The sequence below is a fragment of the Homo sapiens genome, chromosome 2 (assembly GCF_000001405.40).
Source record: "Homo sapiens chromosome 2, GRCh38.p14 Primary Assembly".
In the NCBI taxonomy this organism is placed as follows: domain Eukaryota; kingdom Metazoa; phylum Chordata; class Mammalia; order Primates; family Hominidae; genus Homo; species Homo sapiens.
Genome location: NC_000002.12, coordinates 526,309 through 544,536, shown reverse-complemented (window position 1 = coordinate 544,536; position 18,228 = coordinate 526,309). Strand labels below are relative to the sequence as shown.

Sequence of the window (18,228 nt, the reverse complement as noted above, 5' to 3'; positions counted from 1 at the left end):
ATTGCTGCTTAACTCAAAGAAATGCCAGGATGACTTAGCATTAGAGTGGGGCTTGGGGAACAGGAACAGGCAGTGACGAAGGTTAGTGTGAACAAGGATTAGGTGAGGAATAAGCCACTGATCTTCTCACTTAATAAATATTTACCCGATGTAGTCCCCCAAATTATATCCATGGAGTATGTAGTAAAAGCGTTATTTGAGGTCAGTTCATGGATTCCTAAATAACTAATATTGGGAATATTAACTCCATTTAAAAAAGTCAGATCCCAAGACACATAATACACTACTCAGATAGAAATCTGCATGTGATAAAAAGCAATGTAAATAGAACTAAATATTTGAAAAAATATATAATCTTACACTTTCCATAAGCTGCAAGGAAAAAAATAAATAAATATTTTTTCACAATAGCTAAAAGATTTTGTAGGGCCAAAGAACAATAAACAAGATTAACAGCAAGTAACAAACCAAGATAAAACATATGCAGCCTATGTAACTGCACGCCTTAGCCTCCGTGCCTCCAGCCTCCCACCTTCAAGCCTTCCTGCCTCCCACCCTCCTGCCTCCCTGCCTCCCTGCCTCCAGCCTCCCACCCTCCAGCCTCCCTGCCTCCCATCATCCTGCCTCCCTGCCTCCCACCTTCCCGCCTCCTTGCCTCCCACCTTCCCGCCTCCCTGCCTCCCACTTTCCCACCTCTGTGACTCCCACCCTCCAGCCTGCCTGTCTCCCACCCTCCCCCCTCCCTGCCTCCCACCCTCCAGCCTCCCACCTTCCTGCCTCCCTGCCTCCCACCCTCCAGCCTCCCTGCCTCCCACTTTCCCACCTCTGTGACTCCCACCCTCCAACCTGCCTGCCTCCCACCCTCCCCCCTCCCTGCCTCCTACCCTCCAGCCTGTGGGCAGGCGGCCTCTCCTCTACACAGCCTCGCAGGAAGAGAAAAGAGGAGACAATACCTGATAATACTTGGAAGGTGATATTAGGTAAATAAGGGAAAATACATAAATTCACAATTCAAAAAAGCAGAGTGCTCAATAAGCACGAGATGATGTTCAGTCTCATAAAATATAAGAAACTAAACATAAAACCAATAATATCATGCCATCTTTTCTCTCCTAGGATTGGAAAATATTTTTTTAAGTGACAGTTACTTGAGCTGGTTGAGATGCGCACTGTTGGCACCAACATGGACAGACGACCGTTTGACAGTATCCGTGAAAGTAAAAAGGCATGTTTGTAACTGGACAAAAAATGCTCTATTTTAGAAATCTCTTCCTCAGAACCTGCTCTTACTGGACAAATCTGTACATTTATGACTCTTCACCTTATTATTTATCTTTTAAAAGTTTTGGCTCAGCCATATATACACAAGCTTAAAACGAAAAACAATGTATAATGTGCGCAGAAGAGACAGTTGCTTCGTTACCCCTATAATGGCTCATCTCTGCCAAGACCAAGATAACTCCTTTATTAGTTTTTGCAGAGTTTTTACACAACTACAGCAAATGAAAATATATAGTTAAAGGGTGGTTTAGAAATTGCAGACCGATGCTTCTGTAAAAAAACAAACCTGTGAAGTAAAGCACAGCATTCATTTGCAGTCCTCTAAGTGAAGCCTGATGGTCAAATGCCCCATCCTGAAGGTATTTGGTTAATCTCCCCGCAGGCCGCCCGCCCCAGTCCCAAAGGATGGTCGTCATTCATTCTAAATACAGGTTTGATCGTTTGCTTCTGTTTGCATCCCATTTGGGCATTTCCACCCACCTGCGTTGATTCTTTTACATAGTTCTAAAACAACAATACAAATGGTCTATTCAATGAAGTGATATATTTGTGGTATAGGTATGTGAAATTTAATGTGGTTCTCAAAGCACAAAAAACTCTACTGAGAAGCGTTCTGCAACCAAATTTTCCATTCCATTCCCAGCCCCATCCATGACAAGCTTGGCCTTCTGCCCTCTGTGTTTGTGTTCTACAGTTAAGCAGATACATGTATCTTATTTTCAATATTTTACACACATTGTGCCGTACTTTAGACATATTTTATACTATTTCCCACGTAGTAATATATCCTGGAAATCAGTTTTAGGCACTTCCTGTGGCCCTTTCTCTCCTCTTTATTTTACAGCTCTTTTCTATTCCACTGTGCAGATGCCACACAATTTCCTCACCCACTCTCCAAGGCATGGACGTTTAGGTCATTTTCAATAGTTTTCCATTTCAGTGAGGCAGCCAATAACCACGTGTTTGTGTTTTATATTTTCGCAGGTGTATCTTCAGAAAGAATTCCTATTGTTGCAGGTGTATCTTCAGAAAGAATTACTAGGTGAGGGATTGCTCATTCAAAACATACATGCATACTTTGACAGATATTGCCAAATGTTCATTCAAAGGGTTTTCCTAGTTTACATTCCCACTTGCAACCTATCACAGCATTTATTTCCCCACAGCCTCACCAGCACTGTGTGTTGTCACCATTTTTCCCAAATTAATTAGATAAGAAATGGTATCTCAGTGTAACTTCGATTTGCATTTCTCAAATTATGAGTGACCTTTGACTATCTTTTTATATATTTAAGGGACATCCCACCCCTTTGTTTTGAGATGGAGTCTTGCTCTGTCACCCAAGATGGAGTGCAATGGCACCATCTCAGCTCACTGCAACCTCTGCCTCCCAGGTTCAAGTGATTCTCCTGCGTCAGCCTCCTGAGTAGCTTGGATTACAGGTGCCCACCACCATGCCCGGCTAATTTTTGTATTTTTGGTAGAGACAGGGTTTCACCATGTTGGTCAGGCTGGTCTCGAACTCCTGACCTCGTGATCCCCCCACCTTGGCCTCCCAAAGTGCAGGGATTACAGGTGTGAGCCACCACGCCCAGCCCATCCCCCTTTTTAATAGCACCTTTGTTAAGACATAATTTACATATCATACAATTCGCCCTTTTTATTGTTTGCGTATTTATTTTCTTTCCAACTTTAATTTTAGGTTTGGGTGTACATGTGCAGTTTTGTTACATGGGTAAATTGCACATCACAGAGGTTTGGTGTATAGATGGTGTACAGATTATTTCGTGACTCGGGACATAAGCATAGCACCTGACAGGTTGTTTTTTAATCCTTGCCCTCCTCCCACCCTCCTCCTTCAAGTAGGACCCAGTGTCCTTCTTCATGTCCATGTGTTTTCAATATTTAGCTCTTAGTTATAAGTGAGAAGATGCAGTGTTTGGTTTTCTGTTTCTGTGTAAATTCGGTTAGAATAATGGCCTCCAGCTGCATCCATGTTGCTGCAAAAAAACATGATTTCATTCTTTTTTATGGCTGTGTGGTCTTCCGTGGTATATATGTTCCACATTTTCTTTAACCAGTCCGCTAATGATGAGCATTTGGGTTGATTTCATGTCTTCACTATTCTGAATAGTCTGCAGTGAACATACACATGCAGGGATCTTTATGTTAGAATGATTTCTATTCCTTTGAGTTTATCCCCAGTAATGGGATTGCTATGGTAGTTCTAAGTTCTTTGAGAAAACTACAAACTGATTTGCACAGTGGCTGAACAAGCTTACATTCCCACTAGCATTGCATAATAATTCCCTTTTCTCTGCAGCTTCACCAGCATCTATTATTTTTTGACTTTTTATTAATAGCTATTCTGACTGGTGTGAGATGATATCTCACTATAGTTTTGATTTGTATTTCTCTAATTATTATTGATGTCGAACATTTTTTCATATGTTTGTTGGCCATGTTTATGTCTTCTTTTTAGAAGTGTGTGTTCATGTCTTTTGTCTATTTATTAAAGGGGTTGTTTTTTGCTTATTAAGTTTCTTATAGATGCTAGGTATTAGACCATTGTCAGATGCATACTTTGCAAACATTTTCTCCCATTCCACAGGTTGTCTGTTAACTCTGTTGATAGTTTCTTCTGCTGTGCAGAAGTTCTAGTTTAATTAGGTCTCATTTGTCTATTTTTGGTATTGTTGCAATTGCTTTTGGTGACTTTGTCATGAAATCGTTGCCAAGGCTTACGTCCAGAATGGTATTTTCTAGGTTTTCTTCCAGGGTTTTTATAGTTTTAGATTTTATATTTAATTCTTTAATCAATCTGGAGTTGATTTTTGTATATGGTGAAAGGAAGAGGTCCAGTTTCAATTTTCGGCATATGGCTAGCTGGTTATCCCAGCACCATTTATTGAATAAAGAGTTATTTCCCCCTTGCTTGTATTTCTTTTCTTTTCTTTTCTTTCTTTCTTTTTTTTTTTGAATTTTGTTAAATATCAGATAGTTGTAGGTGTGCAGCTTTATTTCTGGGTTTTCAAACCTGTTCCATTGGTCTATGTGTCTCACTATGCTGTTTTGGTTACTGTAGCCTTGTAGTATAGTTTAGAGTCAGGTAACGTGATGCCATTGGCTTTGCTCTTTTTGCTTAGGACTGCTTTGGCTATTTGGGCTTTTTTTTTTATTCCACATGAACTTTAGAATTCTTTTTTCCAATTCTTTGAAAAATGTCATTAGTAGTTTGATAGGAGTAGCATTAAACCTGTAAATCACTTTGGGCAGTGTGGCCATTTTAACAATATTAATTCTTGCTATCCATGAGCATGGTATGTTTTTCCATTTGTGTTGTCTCTGTTTTCTTTCAGCAGTGTTTTGTAATTCTCATTGTAGAGATTTTTCACCTGCCCCTTCTTTCTAGCTGCTTCTAATGTGTTTTCTTTCATGCTGACCTTAGAGAATCTGATGACCCTGGGTCTTGGGGTTGGTTGTCTTTTATGGTATCTCACAGGGGTCCTCTACATTTCTTGAATGTCAACCTCTCTAGTGAGGTTGGGGAAATTTTCATGGATAATATCCTCAAATATGTTTTCCAAGTTGCTTGCTTTCTCTCTGTCTCTTTTGGGGATGCCAGTGAGTCACAGCATTGGTCCTTTTACATAATCCCATATTTCTCAGAGATTTTGTTCATTCTTTTTAAATTTCTTTTTTAAACTTTTGTCTGAGTTGATTTGAAAAACTGGTCTTTGAGCACTGAGATTCTTTTCTCAGCTTGATCTATTATGCTATTAACACTTCTGCTTGTGTTATGAAACTTTGGTAGTGAGCTTTCTAGCTCTGTCTAAATGTAGTTCTTTCTTAAAATGGCTATTTTGTCTTTTAGCTCTTGTATTATTTTCTTGGATTACTTACATTTCTTGGATTGGGTTTTGACTTTCTCCTGCATCTCCATGATTTCTGTTTCTATCCATATTCTGAATTACATATCTGTCATTTCAGCTGTTTCAACCTGATTAAGAACCATTGCTGGAAAGCCAATCCAGTCATTTGGAGGTGAGTAGACACTGGGTTTTAGAGTTACCAGAGTTCTTGTGCTGATTCTTTCTCATCTGTGTGGGCTGATGTTCCTTTCATCTTGGAAGTTGCTGTCCTTTAGTTGGGGTTTATTGCTTTTATCTTCTTTGATGCTCTTGAGGGTTTGACTGTAGTGTAAATTGTGTTCAGTCAACTGGCTTTATTTCTGGAAGATTTCAGGGAGCCAAGGCTCAGCTCAGCACTCCTGGGCTGCATGATCTCACCCTGGGGTCTGGTACCAGGACCACAGCTTTGTTCTCTGGCCACCTGAGGTTAAGCAACTGCTGTGCTGGAGGGGCTGAGCTGTTCCCAGTCTGTTGGCAACAATACTCCAAAGGGGGGTGCCAACCAAAGCATTTCATTGAGGCAGTGGCAGTGGGGTCTACACTTGCGTGTGTACGCCAGAGGCAGCAGCACCCTACTGTTTTAAAATGTGAAGTTAGAGGTTGGTTTCTGTGTGTGTGTTTGTTTAGTATGTTCAGAGTTGTGCAACCTTCACCAGTAACAACCTTTTAATCACCTAATGAACATGCACTGCTCATTTCTCCCTCAGTCAAGACACTGCCACAAGCAATGCACTTTCTATCTCTGTAGATTTGCCTGTTTAGGATGTTTTATACAAAGGGAATCACACAATCATTTGTGACTGGCTTTTTTCACTCAGCATATTGTTTTCAAGGTTCCTCTGTGTGGTAGCAGGAATAAGCCCTTTATTCCTGTCTATTTCAGAACAGTATCTCATGTGACTACAACATATTATATTTATCCATTTATTATCTGATGAACATTTGGTTTGTTTTTGCCTTTTGGATTTGTTCAATAAGACTTATATGTTTTTGTAAACATATGTTTTCAATTCTCTTGAATATATACCTAGAAGCGGAATTACTGGATTGTATTGTAACTCTATGTTTGTCATTTTAAGAAAATGTCAAAGCGAACTATTTTCCAAAATGGTCGCACACTTCTTGAGCACCAATTAACCACATATGTAAGGGATTATTTCAGAAATCTACATGTCCAGTGATTTATGTGTCTCTTTTGCCATTTCCATCCTGTCATGATAACTGAAGCTTTGTAGTAAATTTTGAAATCAAAAAGTATGAATCTGTCAAATGTATTTTTTTAGTATTGTTTTGGATATTCTGGATTCTTTGCATTTTCCTATAAATTTTAGAATTATAGCACAGTTAGTTAAAAGCCAGTTAGAATTTTGACAGCAATTACATTAAATTTGTAGATCAACTTACAGAATATTACCACATTAACAAGGTTAAGTCTTGCAATCAGTAGCATAGGGTGTCTTCCATGTATTTGATCCTCTGTAATTTCCTTTTACAATGTTTTATAGTTTTTTACTATACAAGTCTTACACTTATTTATGTTAAATTTAAACATAAATATTTTATTGTCTTTATACTATTTTTAAAGATTTCTAAATTTTATTTTGAAATTATTTTATTTCTAGTGTACAAAAGTGTAATTAATTTTTGCATATTGATCTTGTATCCTGGCACTCAGTTTTTTAAGTTCCTTTTTTTATGATTTTTCAAAAAAAAATTTTATGTACAAGACCATGTAATCTGCAAATAGATATAGTTTTATTTATTCCTTTCCAACCTTGATTAGTGTATTATCATAAAATGGTGTTGGATTTTGTTAAAAGATTATTTTACATCAATTAAAATGATCATGTGTATTTTGGCCTTTCTTCAATCAATATGGCGTGTTACTCTTAGCTTTTGTGTATTTGATAACAGTCATCCTTACAGGTGTGAGACAGTATCTCATGTGGTTTTAATTTGTATTTCCCTTATGATTCATGATGTTGAGCACCTTTTCATGTACCTCAAGGCCATTTTTATGTCTTCTTTGGAAAATTGTCTGTTCAGGTTCTTCACCCATTTTTTGAGTTGTTTTGTGACAAATTGTTGTTGTTTTCCTGCTATTGAGTTGTAGGAGTTCTTTATAAATTTTGAATAGTAACCCCTTATCAGGTACATGGTTTGCAATTATTTTTTTCCATAAGGTGACTTTAAATTTTATTGATTGTTTCCTTTGCTGTACAGAAGCTTTTTGATTCAATGTAGTGTTATTTATTTATTTTTGGTTTTATAGTATAAGTGTTTGATATAATATTTAAGAAAATATATTGCCAAGGCCAATGCCAAGAAATTTTTTTCTTCTCCTTTCTATACTAGAAGTTATGGTTTCAGGTCTTCCATTTAGGTCTTCCATTCATTTTGAATTAACTTTTGTATATGGTGTGAAATATGCATTCAATTTTATTCTGTTTCATGTGGAAATCCAGTTTCCCCAGCACCGTTTATTGAAGAGACTCTTTCCCATTGTGCCCTCTTGGAGCCTGTATTAGTTATGGCTTTCTAGAGGGACAGAACTAATGGAATATATATAAAGGGGAGGTTATTAAGTATTAACTCATATGATCACAGGGTCCCACAATAGGCTGTCTGCAGGCCAAGGAGCAAGGAGAGCCAGTCCGAGTTTCAAAACTGAAGAACTTGGAATCCAATGTTCAAGATCAGGAAGCATCCAGCACAGGAAAATGATGTAGGCTGAGAGGATAGGCCAGTCTCTGTTTTCACATTTTTATGCCTGCTTATATTCTAGCTGCGCTGGCAGCTGATTAGATTGTGCCCACCCGCATTAAGGGTGGGTCTGCCTTTCCCAGCCCACTGACTCAAATGTTAATCTCTTTTGGCAACACCCTCACAGGCATACTCAGGATCAATACTTTGTGTCCTTCAATACAATCAATTTGACACTCAGTATTAACCATCACAGAGCCCTTGTCATAAATTGGTTGATCATATATGTTTGAATTTATTTCTGGTCACTGAGTTCTGCTCCCTTGGTCTATGTTTCTGTTTTTATGCCAGTGCCATGCTGTTTTGTTTATTATAAGTTTGTAATATGATTTTAAATCAGGAAGTGTGACGATTCCAACTTTGTTTTACTTTTTGGAGGGGATTTTGTCTGGTGTTAGTGTAGCAAACTTCAGTTCTTTCGGTTGATGTTTTCATGGTGTTTGTTTTTCTATCCTTTTAATATCACCCTATTTGATTCTTTCAGTTTAAAGTGTTTTTCTTGCAGACAAGATACAGCTCAACTATTTTTAATTCATTCTGAAAATCTCTACCTTTTAAAATAAAGTGTTTAACCCATTTAAATTAATTTTAATTACTCATAAGGTAGGATTTATGTCTTTCATTTTGCTGGGTTGCTTTTGTACATTTCTGTCTTTTTTGTTATCCTGTTCCTTCATTGCTATTTACTTTTAAGTTAAGTAGATAGTTTCTAGTGTGCCATTTTAAGCTGTTTATTTTACTGTATTTTAAAAATTATTTTCTTAGTGACTTCCCTGGGGATTAAAATTAACATACTAACAAAAATAATATTGTTTATATTAATACCAACTTAATTTCAATAGTATTCAAAAATTTGTTCCAATAATGCTCTTTTTAATTTTTCTTCTTTTTGCTATTATTGTCAAACAACATTTTTATACAATAGAAATCCATCAACATAGTTTTATAATTATTAGTATTTATGCTTTATTTCAGAAGAGGATCATAAGCAAAATGATTATTTTGGCATTGATCAAACAAACATCATTAAACCCATCTGTTCTCATACGGGTCTTATATGAATCTGTATCTTTATACAAAGGACATATCTATGTCCATATCTATTGTATTATTCATCTTTCCTGGTGGATTCCACTTACTGCCTGCTGCTCTTTCATTTCAGACTGAAGGCCCCTCCTGGGTATTTATGGTAGTGCATGTTTGATAGCAACAATTGTTTTTTGTTCTGAGAATGATTTATTTCTCTTTCATATTTTAAAGAAAGCTCTGCCACATATAGAATTCTTGATATTTTGTTTTCAGTGTTTTAAATATGTTTTCTCACTGCCTTCCGGTGCCCGTGTTTTCTGATAAGCCAATTGTTAATCTTATTGATAATACTTTCACATGATGCATCCAGGTTGTCTTGGCACTCTCCACATTTTTTGTTTCTTTTGGGTGTTTACAGTTTGACTACAACGTGTGTAGGTGTGCATTTCTTTTAGTACATTCTGCTAGGAGTTCATTGAGATTCTTAAATGTGCAGATTAACCTTTTACGTCAAATTTTAAAAGTTTTAGCCATTATTTCTTCAAATGTTCTGTTTGATTATTTCTCTCTTTCTTTCCTCTCTTAATGGGACACCCATTGGTCAATGATATGTTAGGTATCAAATGTACTGAACTGAAATGCCTGTGTGCACAAGTCTGTGCTGAACTGAAATGCTTGTGTGCCTCCAAAATTTATGTATTGAATTCCTAATCCCAACAATGTGATAATATCTGGAGGTGAGGCCTTTGGGAGGTAATTAGGTCATGAAAATGGAGCCCTTGTAAATGACATTTGAGCCTTTATAAGACCAAGCTAGACAGCTAGCTGCTGTTCCTTCCACCATGTGAGAACACAGCAAGAAGGCACCATATGTGAGCCAGAAAGCAGGCCTTCTTCAGACACCAAATCTGCTGGTGTCTTGATCTCGGAATTCCCACCCTCCAGACTGTGGGAAATAAATTTCTTTTTTTTAAATGCTGTATAGTACATATTTTGTTATAACAGCCATAATGGACTAAGATTTTAAAAATGGTACCAAGAAGTGGGGGTGCTACTGTAAACAAATATCTAAAAATGTGGAAGTGGCTTGGCTTTAGAACTGGGTAATGGATAGAAGCTGGAAGAGTTTTTAGGTGCATGCTGAAAAAACCTACATTGCCATGAATGGACTATTAAAGGCAATTTGGTAAGAGCCCAGACAGGAAAAAGAAAGCCTGAAGAGAAACACCCAGTTGCCTTAGAGGACACCTATGCAATCCTGAACAAAGTCGTAGAAATATGGCTGGCAAACAGGCCATTCGATGAGGTCTCAGATGGAATGAGAAACATGTTATTAGAAACTGGAGGAAATGCCATCTTTGTTATAAAATGGCAAAGAACTTGGCACAACTGTGTTCATGTCCTAGTGTTTTGCGGAAGGTAGAAATTTCAAGGAATAAAGATGAATATTTAGCTGAGGAGATTTTCATACCAAGTGTTGCAGGGGTTGTTTGGTCCCTCTTGATGACTTACAGTAAAATTTAAAAAGAGAAATCACTTGAAGATGGAATTACTAAACAAAAAAGAACTAGAATATAAAGATTTAGAAAATTCTCAGCTGATCCATGTTGCAAAAAAAAAAAATGAGAAAGCATGTTTGAAAGAGAACACTAAAGGTGTGGCCCAAGTGCCCTTCTGATAGGGAAATTAGTAGCAGTGTAAACTATGAACTGCCTTAGCTACCTCAGCAGAAAAACTGTCAGTTTGATCTGACAATGAAGGAGATGAGAAGGAACAAAAGAAGGCTGTTGGATTTCTTGGATTTTACAGAATAGGACTATAGCACTATTCTTCAAGACAAAGGAAGAAAGACCCCAAAGGTAATTCAGAGATTATCAGGACTGCCTCCCCCATTTTGAAAAGGGGGACCATCACCTAATTTCCAACAGGCCAGATGATCTTTGCCCAAAGACATTGGGGTAGAGCCCTTAGGGTGCAATTCCTTCTCCTAGGGTGCAGAAAGGGTTGCCACTCCAGTAGGTCCATAAGGCAGGAAAACCATCTCACTGAGCAGGGCCGGGGGGAAGTGTACAAAATTAAGCCAAAAAGGATCTTTCTCCAGCCTTAGGATCTCATAAAGTTTGCCTTGTTGGATTTTGGACTTGCTTGGGACCCATCGCCACTTTTTTCTTCCTTTTGGGAGAAAAGGGTAACTATGTCTGTCCCATCATTGTATTTTGGAAGCACATACTTAATTTAATGAATTTATCACTGCAGAGAAATTTTGCCTCAGAATAAGTAGTGTACCTCAAATCTCACCTATATTTGACTTAAATAATATTTTAATAAAACTTTGGACATTAGATTGCAAACTTGATGCTGAAATAAGTTAAAACTTTTTGGGCTGTTGGAATGAAATGAATGTCTTTGGTATGTGAGAAGGACATACATTTTGTGGGGCAAGAAAGCAAAATGCAATTAACTGAATATTTCCATCCCCCCAAATTCATATGTTGATGGTATTCAGAGGTGGGGCTTTTGGGAGAATTAGGTGATGAGCATGAAACCTTCATGAACTGAATGAGTGCCCTTATAAAAAGAGTCCAGGGAGCTGGCCAGTGCACTTTTCACCATGTGGGGTTACAAAGAAGTCAGCAGCCTGCAACTAGGAAGATGACCCTCACCAGAATTCAACCACGATGTCACTCTGGTCTCAGACTTCCAGCCTTCAGAACTGTGGGAAATAAAATTGTTGTTGTTGTTCAGCCACGTAGTTTATTGTATTTCATTATAGCAGCTGAACTGACTAAGTGCCCCAAAGTCTGAGTCTATTTATGTATCTTCATTCTTTTATTTTCTCTTTCTTGGACTGAATAATCTCACTTGAAATATCTTCAAGGTTGCTGATTCTCTCTTCTTCCATCTCAAACATGATGTTAAATCACTTTAGCAAGATTTTATTTCAGTCATTAAACTTTTCAACTCTAGAGTTGGAATTTAAAAAATTTCTTTTTTTCATTGGTATTATATATGTGGTGAGCCATTTATCTCCATGCTTGTTTAATTCTTTGGACATGATATCCTTTAGTTCTTTTATTAGACTTATATCTCATTTAAAGTATGTGTCTAGTAAATCTAACATCTGGGCTTCCTCAGGACAGTTTCTTTCCACTGTCTGCTTTCCTGGGGATGGGCCATACTTTCCTGTGTTATATGCATGCCTCATAATTCTTTGTTAAAACTAAATACATATATTTTTTAAATTTGTCCACTCTGGAAACTAAAGCTCCCAATCTGTGTGGTGTTGTTGCTCTTTGTTGTGGTTGCCATCATTGCTGTTGTTGCTATTTGCTTGTCAGTGATATTCCTGGTCTAATTCTGTAAAGTGCGTGTTCCCCACTTTGTGTGAACACAGAAGTCATGCTCAGTTATCTTCATTGTTAGCAAATGATTCAACCAAGATTTCTTAAGCCTCTTTCATCAATGTTTCCCACCCTTTGCAAAGGGGCTTCCAATGTGAGATGGGACATGCTGTCATTCAACACAGTGACTGTACGTCTATGCCTTGGCCTTCCCCTTTTCCTTGTGAAGAGCTTCAGGATCAGCCTAAGGTAAGAAATGGGGACTTGTGTCTTTTCTGAGTTGTACGCAGCTCTGCAGTCACATAGCTGTCTATATTCCCTGGAGCGTGCAGATGATTCTCAATGCCCTGTGGACATCTTACTTCCCAGATCTTCCTAGTAAGATTCTTGGCCATCCTCTTGTTTGCAACACTGGTATCACCTCTTTAAGTAAGTGCAATTGTAACAATTTCCATTGATTATTTTCAATAGATTCCCTGGACATAAAATAAGGATTTTCTCACTGAGTAAGGTCAAATAATGACAATTTCTGAGAATGTCACAAATACTTTCTGGTTGTTTGCTAATATGTTTATAGTGTTTTGTCATGAACTTGTGAAAATATTTTGAATAATCCAATTTATCAACCTTTTATTACATCTCAATTTTTAGTTGTAGATACAAAATCTTCTCTTACCCATGTTAAAGGGAAATTTACTCATTTCTTTTTTCTAGTGCATGTATGGTTTTGCTTTTTTACATTTAGTTTCCTAATACATTTGTAGTTTATTCTTGTGTATGGCATAAAATAAAGATCCAAGTTTACCTTTGTCCAAATGGAAAATTAGTTTTCCAGTACATTTATTAAGAACTCCATCTTTGTTTCAGTGATAAGAGATAGGATCTTTATTGTACACTAAATTTTTGTATTTTGGGGTCTATTTCTGGAAATTTATTTCATCCCACTGTTCTATTTTCTATCTATGTACCTGTACCACACTATGTAAATCATAGAGGTTGCATGGCATGTTTTAATGTCTGGTAGAACTAATCCATTTCCACCACTACCACCATGAGTGACTTTTTTGGTTTTTCAGTGTTTCTCTGGCTTGTCTCATGTTTGTTTCTTCATATGAAATAGATTTTTACAGAGGCCTGCAAAATACTCTCTGACGGTTTATTTTTTAATAATTTCATTTCAATACTTATTTCTCTTTGTGCATGTGTATCTGTACATCTACATCTATATCTGTATCTATGTCTATAGCTCACTTCGTATGTGTATGTCCTTTATTCTTGTTTGAGTTAGGTAGTGATTTGTGTATTTTGTTCATTTGAAAAATACGGAATTATTATTTATTAATGAAGGCTACTACTTTTCTAATTTCTACTTTATTCATTTTTTATCTATATTATTTCTTCATTTGAGCTTTCTTTGTTTACTTTGCTGTCTTTTTTAAACATTTGAGCTGATAATTTAATTCATTTTATTGTTTTATTTGTATTGAAAAAACATTAAGAACTATGGATTTTCCTCTGATTGCTGCTTTAAATATATCCCATATAGTATGATTTTTTGAGAAATTAAATACTTTCATATGTATTCATTAATTTCCCATCTTTGTCCCTAGCTTTGTTGTAATCTTAGCTTTCTAATTAGATATGTAAACAATACACCATTGGCCATTGATTGACGTTTTTACAAATATTTGTTGGTGAATGAAGGTTATCCTTTAGTATGTTATTCAAGAAATTCCAAAGTATACAGAATTCCCTAAGTTCTTGTATGTTTAAAACTTGAAGAAAGTCTTGGCTGAATATAATTTTTTTGCTTTACATTTTCTTTTTTATTTTAATTATGCTTCATTATTATCTTACACATTATTATGCCATGTAAATTATTTGATCTTTTGACCTGAAGGCTTTGAAGACTTTTTTCCTTGAGATCTAAGAGTTTTGTTGGGATGTATTGTTGTTGATCTATCTGGGTCAATTTTTCCTATTAATCTAGTGTATCTTTAAATACATAGACTAATAGCTTCTTTTATTTTGGGAAGGTTTTCTCAGATTATAATTTTAAATATTCGTTATATTAAATAGCTTTGTTGTTTTTGCCTTCATGGATTCCAATTATATGTATGTTGTTTCAACCTTTTCTCCATAATCATTTTCGCTTCTTCATTTTCTCATTTTCATTGTATTTCCCTACATTTATTCAATACATCTTGGTAAATTTTCATTTTAGGCTATTTTCCATGGTGCACTTTACTTTGCTTTCTATTTCTGAGATAACTTTGTTTTCAGCATTTTCATCCTGTGTTCAATCAACTGTCATTTCATACTCATTGTGGTTTTTCCTCTTTTTTTTTCATTTTTGTTTTACAGTGTCTAGATGTTTTCATATCTCACAAATAATTGTTTAAGGATAATTAATGTAGTTTGAAATATTAGGTTAAAATTTTATTCTGCTTCATGTTTCTTTTGGGGGTTTGAAGAGCAAACTGAATATTGTTTTTGGACTACTAATTTTAATGTAGTAGCTTTATTGAAATTAACATATTTTTAAAATTAATTTTATAGATTTGAGGGTGGTTTATAAGATTCCTAGTTCAATAGCACCCTCTTCTGTTCATGCAGTTAAGCATGGTTTCATTAATGGATTTCTGCTGCTCCTACTGCTGGTGGTAGAGGGAGGGCTTGTGTTCTCTTTGACCACGTGGGACTTGAAACGTTGATTTTTTTTCTTCCCCTATATCAGCTCCCAAAGAGTGCCTCTCCCTTAGTGCTTTTGCTTTCTTCTCCCCCACAAGCAATGCATTTTGAAGACTGCCCTTCAAATTATACTCACCTTAAGGTTCTTCCACTGCAGTCACTTCTTTAAAATATCAGAATACCTTTTCATTATTTTCACATTTAGGATGATTTTTCTCTTTAGGACTGTGATTTTAAATCAATCTTTAGCCTGATGCTAGCTTCGTTCTTCTTTCTTCTCTGTAGTTGTTTGTAAGCCCCTTTGCTCACTGCAAAGACTCTTGGAAGAAGCATACAAAAATCTTCCTTTAAAAAATTTTTTTTCTTACTTAGAAGTGACTTTAAGTTTGAGATAATTCTGTGTCCAGTATGTTGAGTGTTTCCTTTTCTTTTTAGATTCATATTATTGTTTTGTATTTTTGGAGATTATTTGTGAAGGTGTAGATTTCAGAAACTACCATTATTCCTGTTAAATATTTTAACAAAACAATATTTTGCTTTTTAAATAAAATATTTAAAATTTTTATTAATTTTAAGAAAATTTCAAAGATCAGAACACACACTTTATTAAAGAAGAAATACAAATAAATAAACGTGAAAAACATTGTTCCATATTATCAGTAATCTTAGGTAGCAGATTAAAACAATGATAGACCATGAAACATTTGTAAAGTCATTAAAAATGCATTGCCAGTGTTGGCCTAACACTGTTGGTCTCAGGCACTCCTAAGTATGATAACTGGAAGTCTCAGTATATGGTATGAATGTCAAAGATGTTCTTATATTTCATTTTAGCCATTTAACTTCCAGAAATTTATTGTGATCAAATAATAAACAATGAACACAATATTTATCTGTAATGGTGTTCTGAAGAACTGTTTATTGGCCAGAGTTGGAAATAAGAGTTGGTTAAATAAATCATGGTTCATATAATGCAAACTATGTACAGATCATGTTTAGAAAAATATTTAGGTATGATAAATATTAATCATAGTCTGTTAATAAAAAGCGTACAAAACAGTGTGCATACAAGCATTCCGTTTTTCTTTAAAAATTGTGTGTGTGTGCATGTAGAAGAAAACAAAATATTACCAATAATTTTATCATGCTTGTACTATTACTGTTGGGTTTTGTTTCATTTTTCTTTGTACTTTTAAGTTTGGCATATACATTTTTCAATGAAAATGCATAATTTTTAAAACAGAAACATGAATGAAAAACAGAAAACTTTCTAAATTCACTAGTTCTGAACAAAGAATTCATATAATTGTGACTTAATAGCACTCCTAGGTTATCCTATAAAATTAACTCATGTGTCTCTGTTATCTACTGTAAAAATTAAAGGAATCTCATATTAATTTATTGATGCCAGAATATGTATAAGACAAATATTTCACATGTTTATCTACTTTTAAAGATATATATAAAATTATTGATATAGATGGATTCTAGGAAGTGTTTTATAAGAAACAACAAAATACCTATCACTACTGAAATGCTTTGGTCTGCATCTGTGCAGCGCGGCCTTTTTCCACGTCCCTCAGTGTCGTGGCTCTAAGGTCATCAGGCTCTGAGGGCCAGGTCTGTCTGCTCACACCAGTGCCACATTCAGCACCACTGCCGGTTCCTCCAGCCCTGCGGTGCCTTTCTTTGTCCCCTTTGACCAGGGCTCCCAGCTGCCTCCCGGTCAATTGCGCTTGAATCAGGGGGCTCCTACCCACCTGCTGAGCTCCTAACACCTGTGCAGCCTGAACCACACGCTTTCAGTCTTAACCCTCCCTGCCCTGTCCTCCCTCCCTTCTAAATCCCCACGGTGTGGCCTCCAGGCTGCACTTCAGGCTCGGAACTCTGACTTGACGTTAGCAAGAAGCTATTGGGGATGTTTCTCCATGGGCCCAAGTCGACCCAACATTTATCTAATTCACCTGGGCTGTGCAGTGCCATCAGGTCTCCTGAGTCTGTTACAAACATGCGTTCATGCTAATCTGTTAGACACACACCACACACAACACATATCACACACCATACACACCACACACACAACACACACCCCACACCATACACCACACATCTCACATAGCACACACCACATATATCACACACCACACACCCCACACACTACACACACCACACACACCACGCACACTACATACATCACACACCACACACTACACACACGACACATCACACTCACCACACACCACACACACCACACATCACACACACCACACACACCACATACATCACGTCACACATACCACACGCCACACACGCCACACACACTACACATCATATACTACATGCACACATCACACACTGTGCACACCACACGCACCACACTGCACATACCACACACACCAGAGATCACACAAACACATCACACACCACACACACACCACACATCACACATCACACACCAGACACCACACACATCACACACACCACACATCACACACACCAAACATCACACACAGCACACACTAGACATCACATGCCACACACACCACACATTACACCCATCACACATATCACACACTAACATTACACACACCAAACACCACACATATCACACACCACAAAAACCACACACACCACACAGCACACACACACCACACAGCACAAACCACACACACCACACATTACAAACATCACACACACTACACACACCCTACCACACACACCACACACCCCACACACCACACAGCACACACACTCACACTGAGCAACTATTAATATAGTAAGTCGGCTGCTGAGTGCCTCACTATGGGAAAGGAGGGAGCCCCCTGATTTACTTGCCCTCAGACACTGGCTTATGACCTTCACCTGCCTCTATTGCCTATAATGACCAAGTTTTGTGTGATTTCGGCACACTAGTTAGTGCTTAGAGAATCTTCCAAAAGGCTTAAAAACAGCTTGTTACCAACGGGAATTAGGTCCAGGCAAAATACAAAATAAAATAAAATCAGTCAGAAAACTATACAACTGTGAGAAGAAAACGGATTCCTATATATCTAGAACACTCAAGTTTAATACATATTTTCACTTTTTACATAGGGAATATTTTTACCTTTCTGAAAAGCATGGAGAATAATTTTATAGTAATTTGCCAACTACTTGGAAAAAGACAGAAACACCTGAAAATTTAACTTGTTTTCTTCTGATCTTTTTTAAAG

At 36.8% G+C, this 18,228-nt stretch overlaps 2 annotated features.

Annotated features, from left to right (window-relative positions):
- Positions 16,177 to 16,698: an enhancer, noted in NCBI's record as "H3K4me1 hESC enhancer chr2:527839-528360 (GRCh37/hg19 assembly coordinates)". NCBI's record gives its function as "activates a minimal SCP1, AML or CMV promoter by ChIP-STARR-seq in primed H9 embryonic stem cells {active_cell/tissue: H9 hESC(primed)}" and the evidence as "EXISTENCE:reporter gene assay evidence [ECO:0000049][PMID:30033119]".
- Positions 16,699 to 17,221: an enhancer, noted in NCBI's record as "H3K4me1 hESC enhancer chr2:527316-527838 (GRCh37/hg19 assembly coordinates)". NCBI's record gives its function as "activates a minimal SCP1, AML or CMV promoter by ChIP-STARR-seq in primed H9 embryonic stem cells {active_cell/tissue: H9 hESC(primed)}" and the evidence as "EXISTENCE:reporter gene assay evidence [ECO:0000049][PMID:30033119]".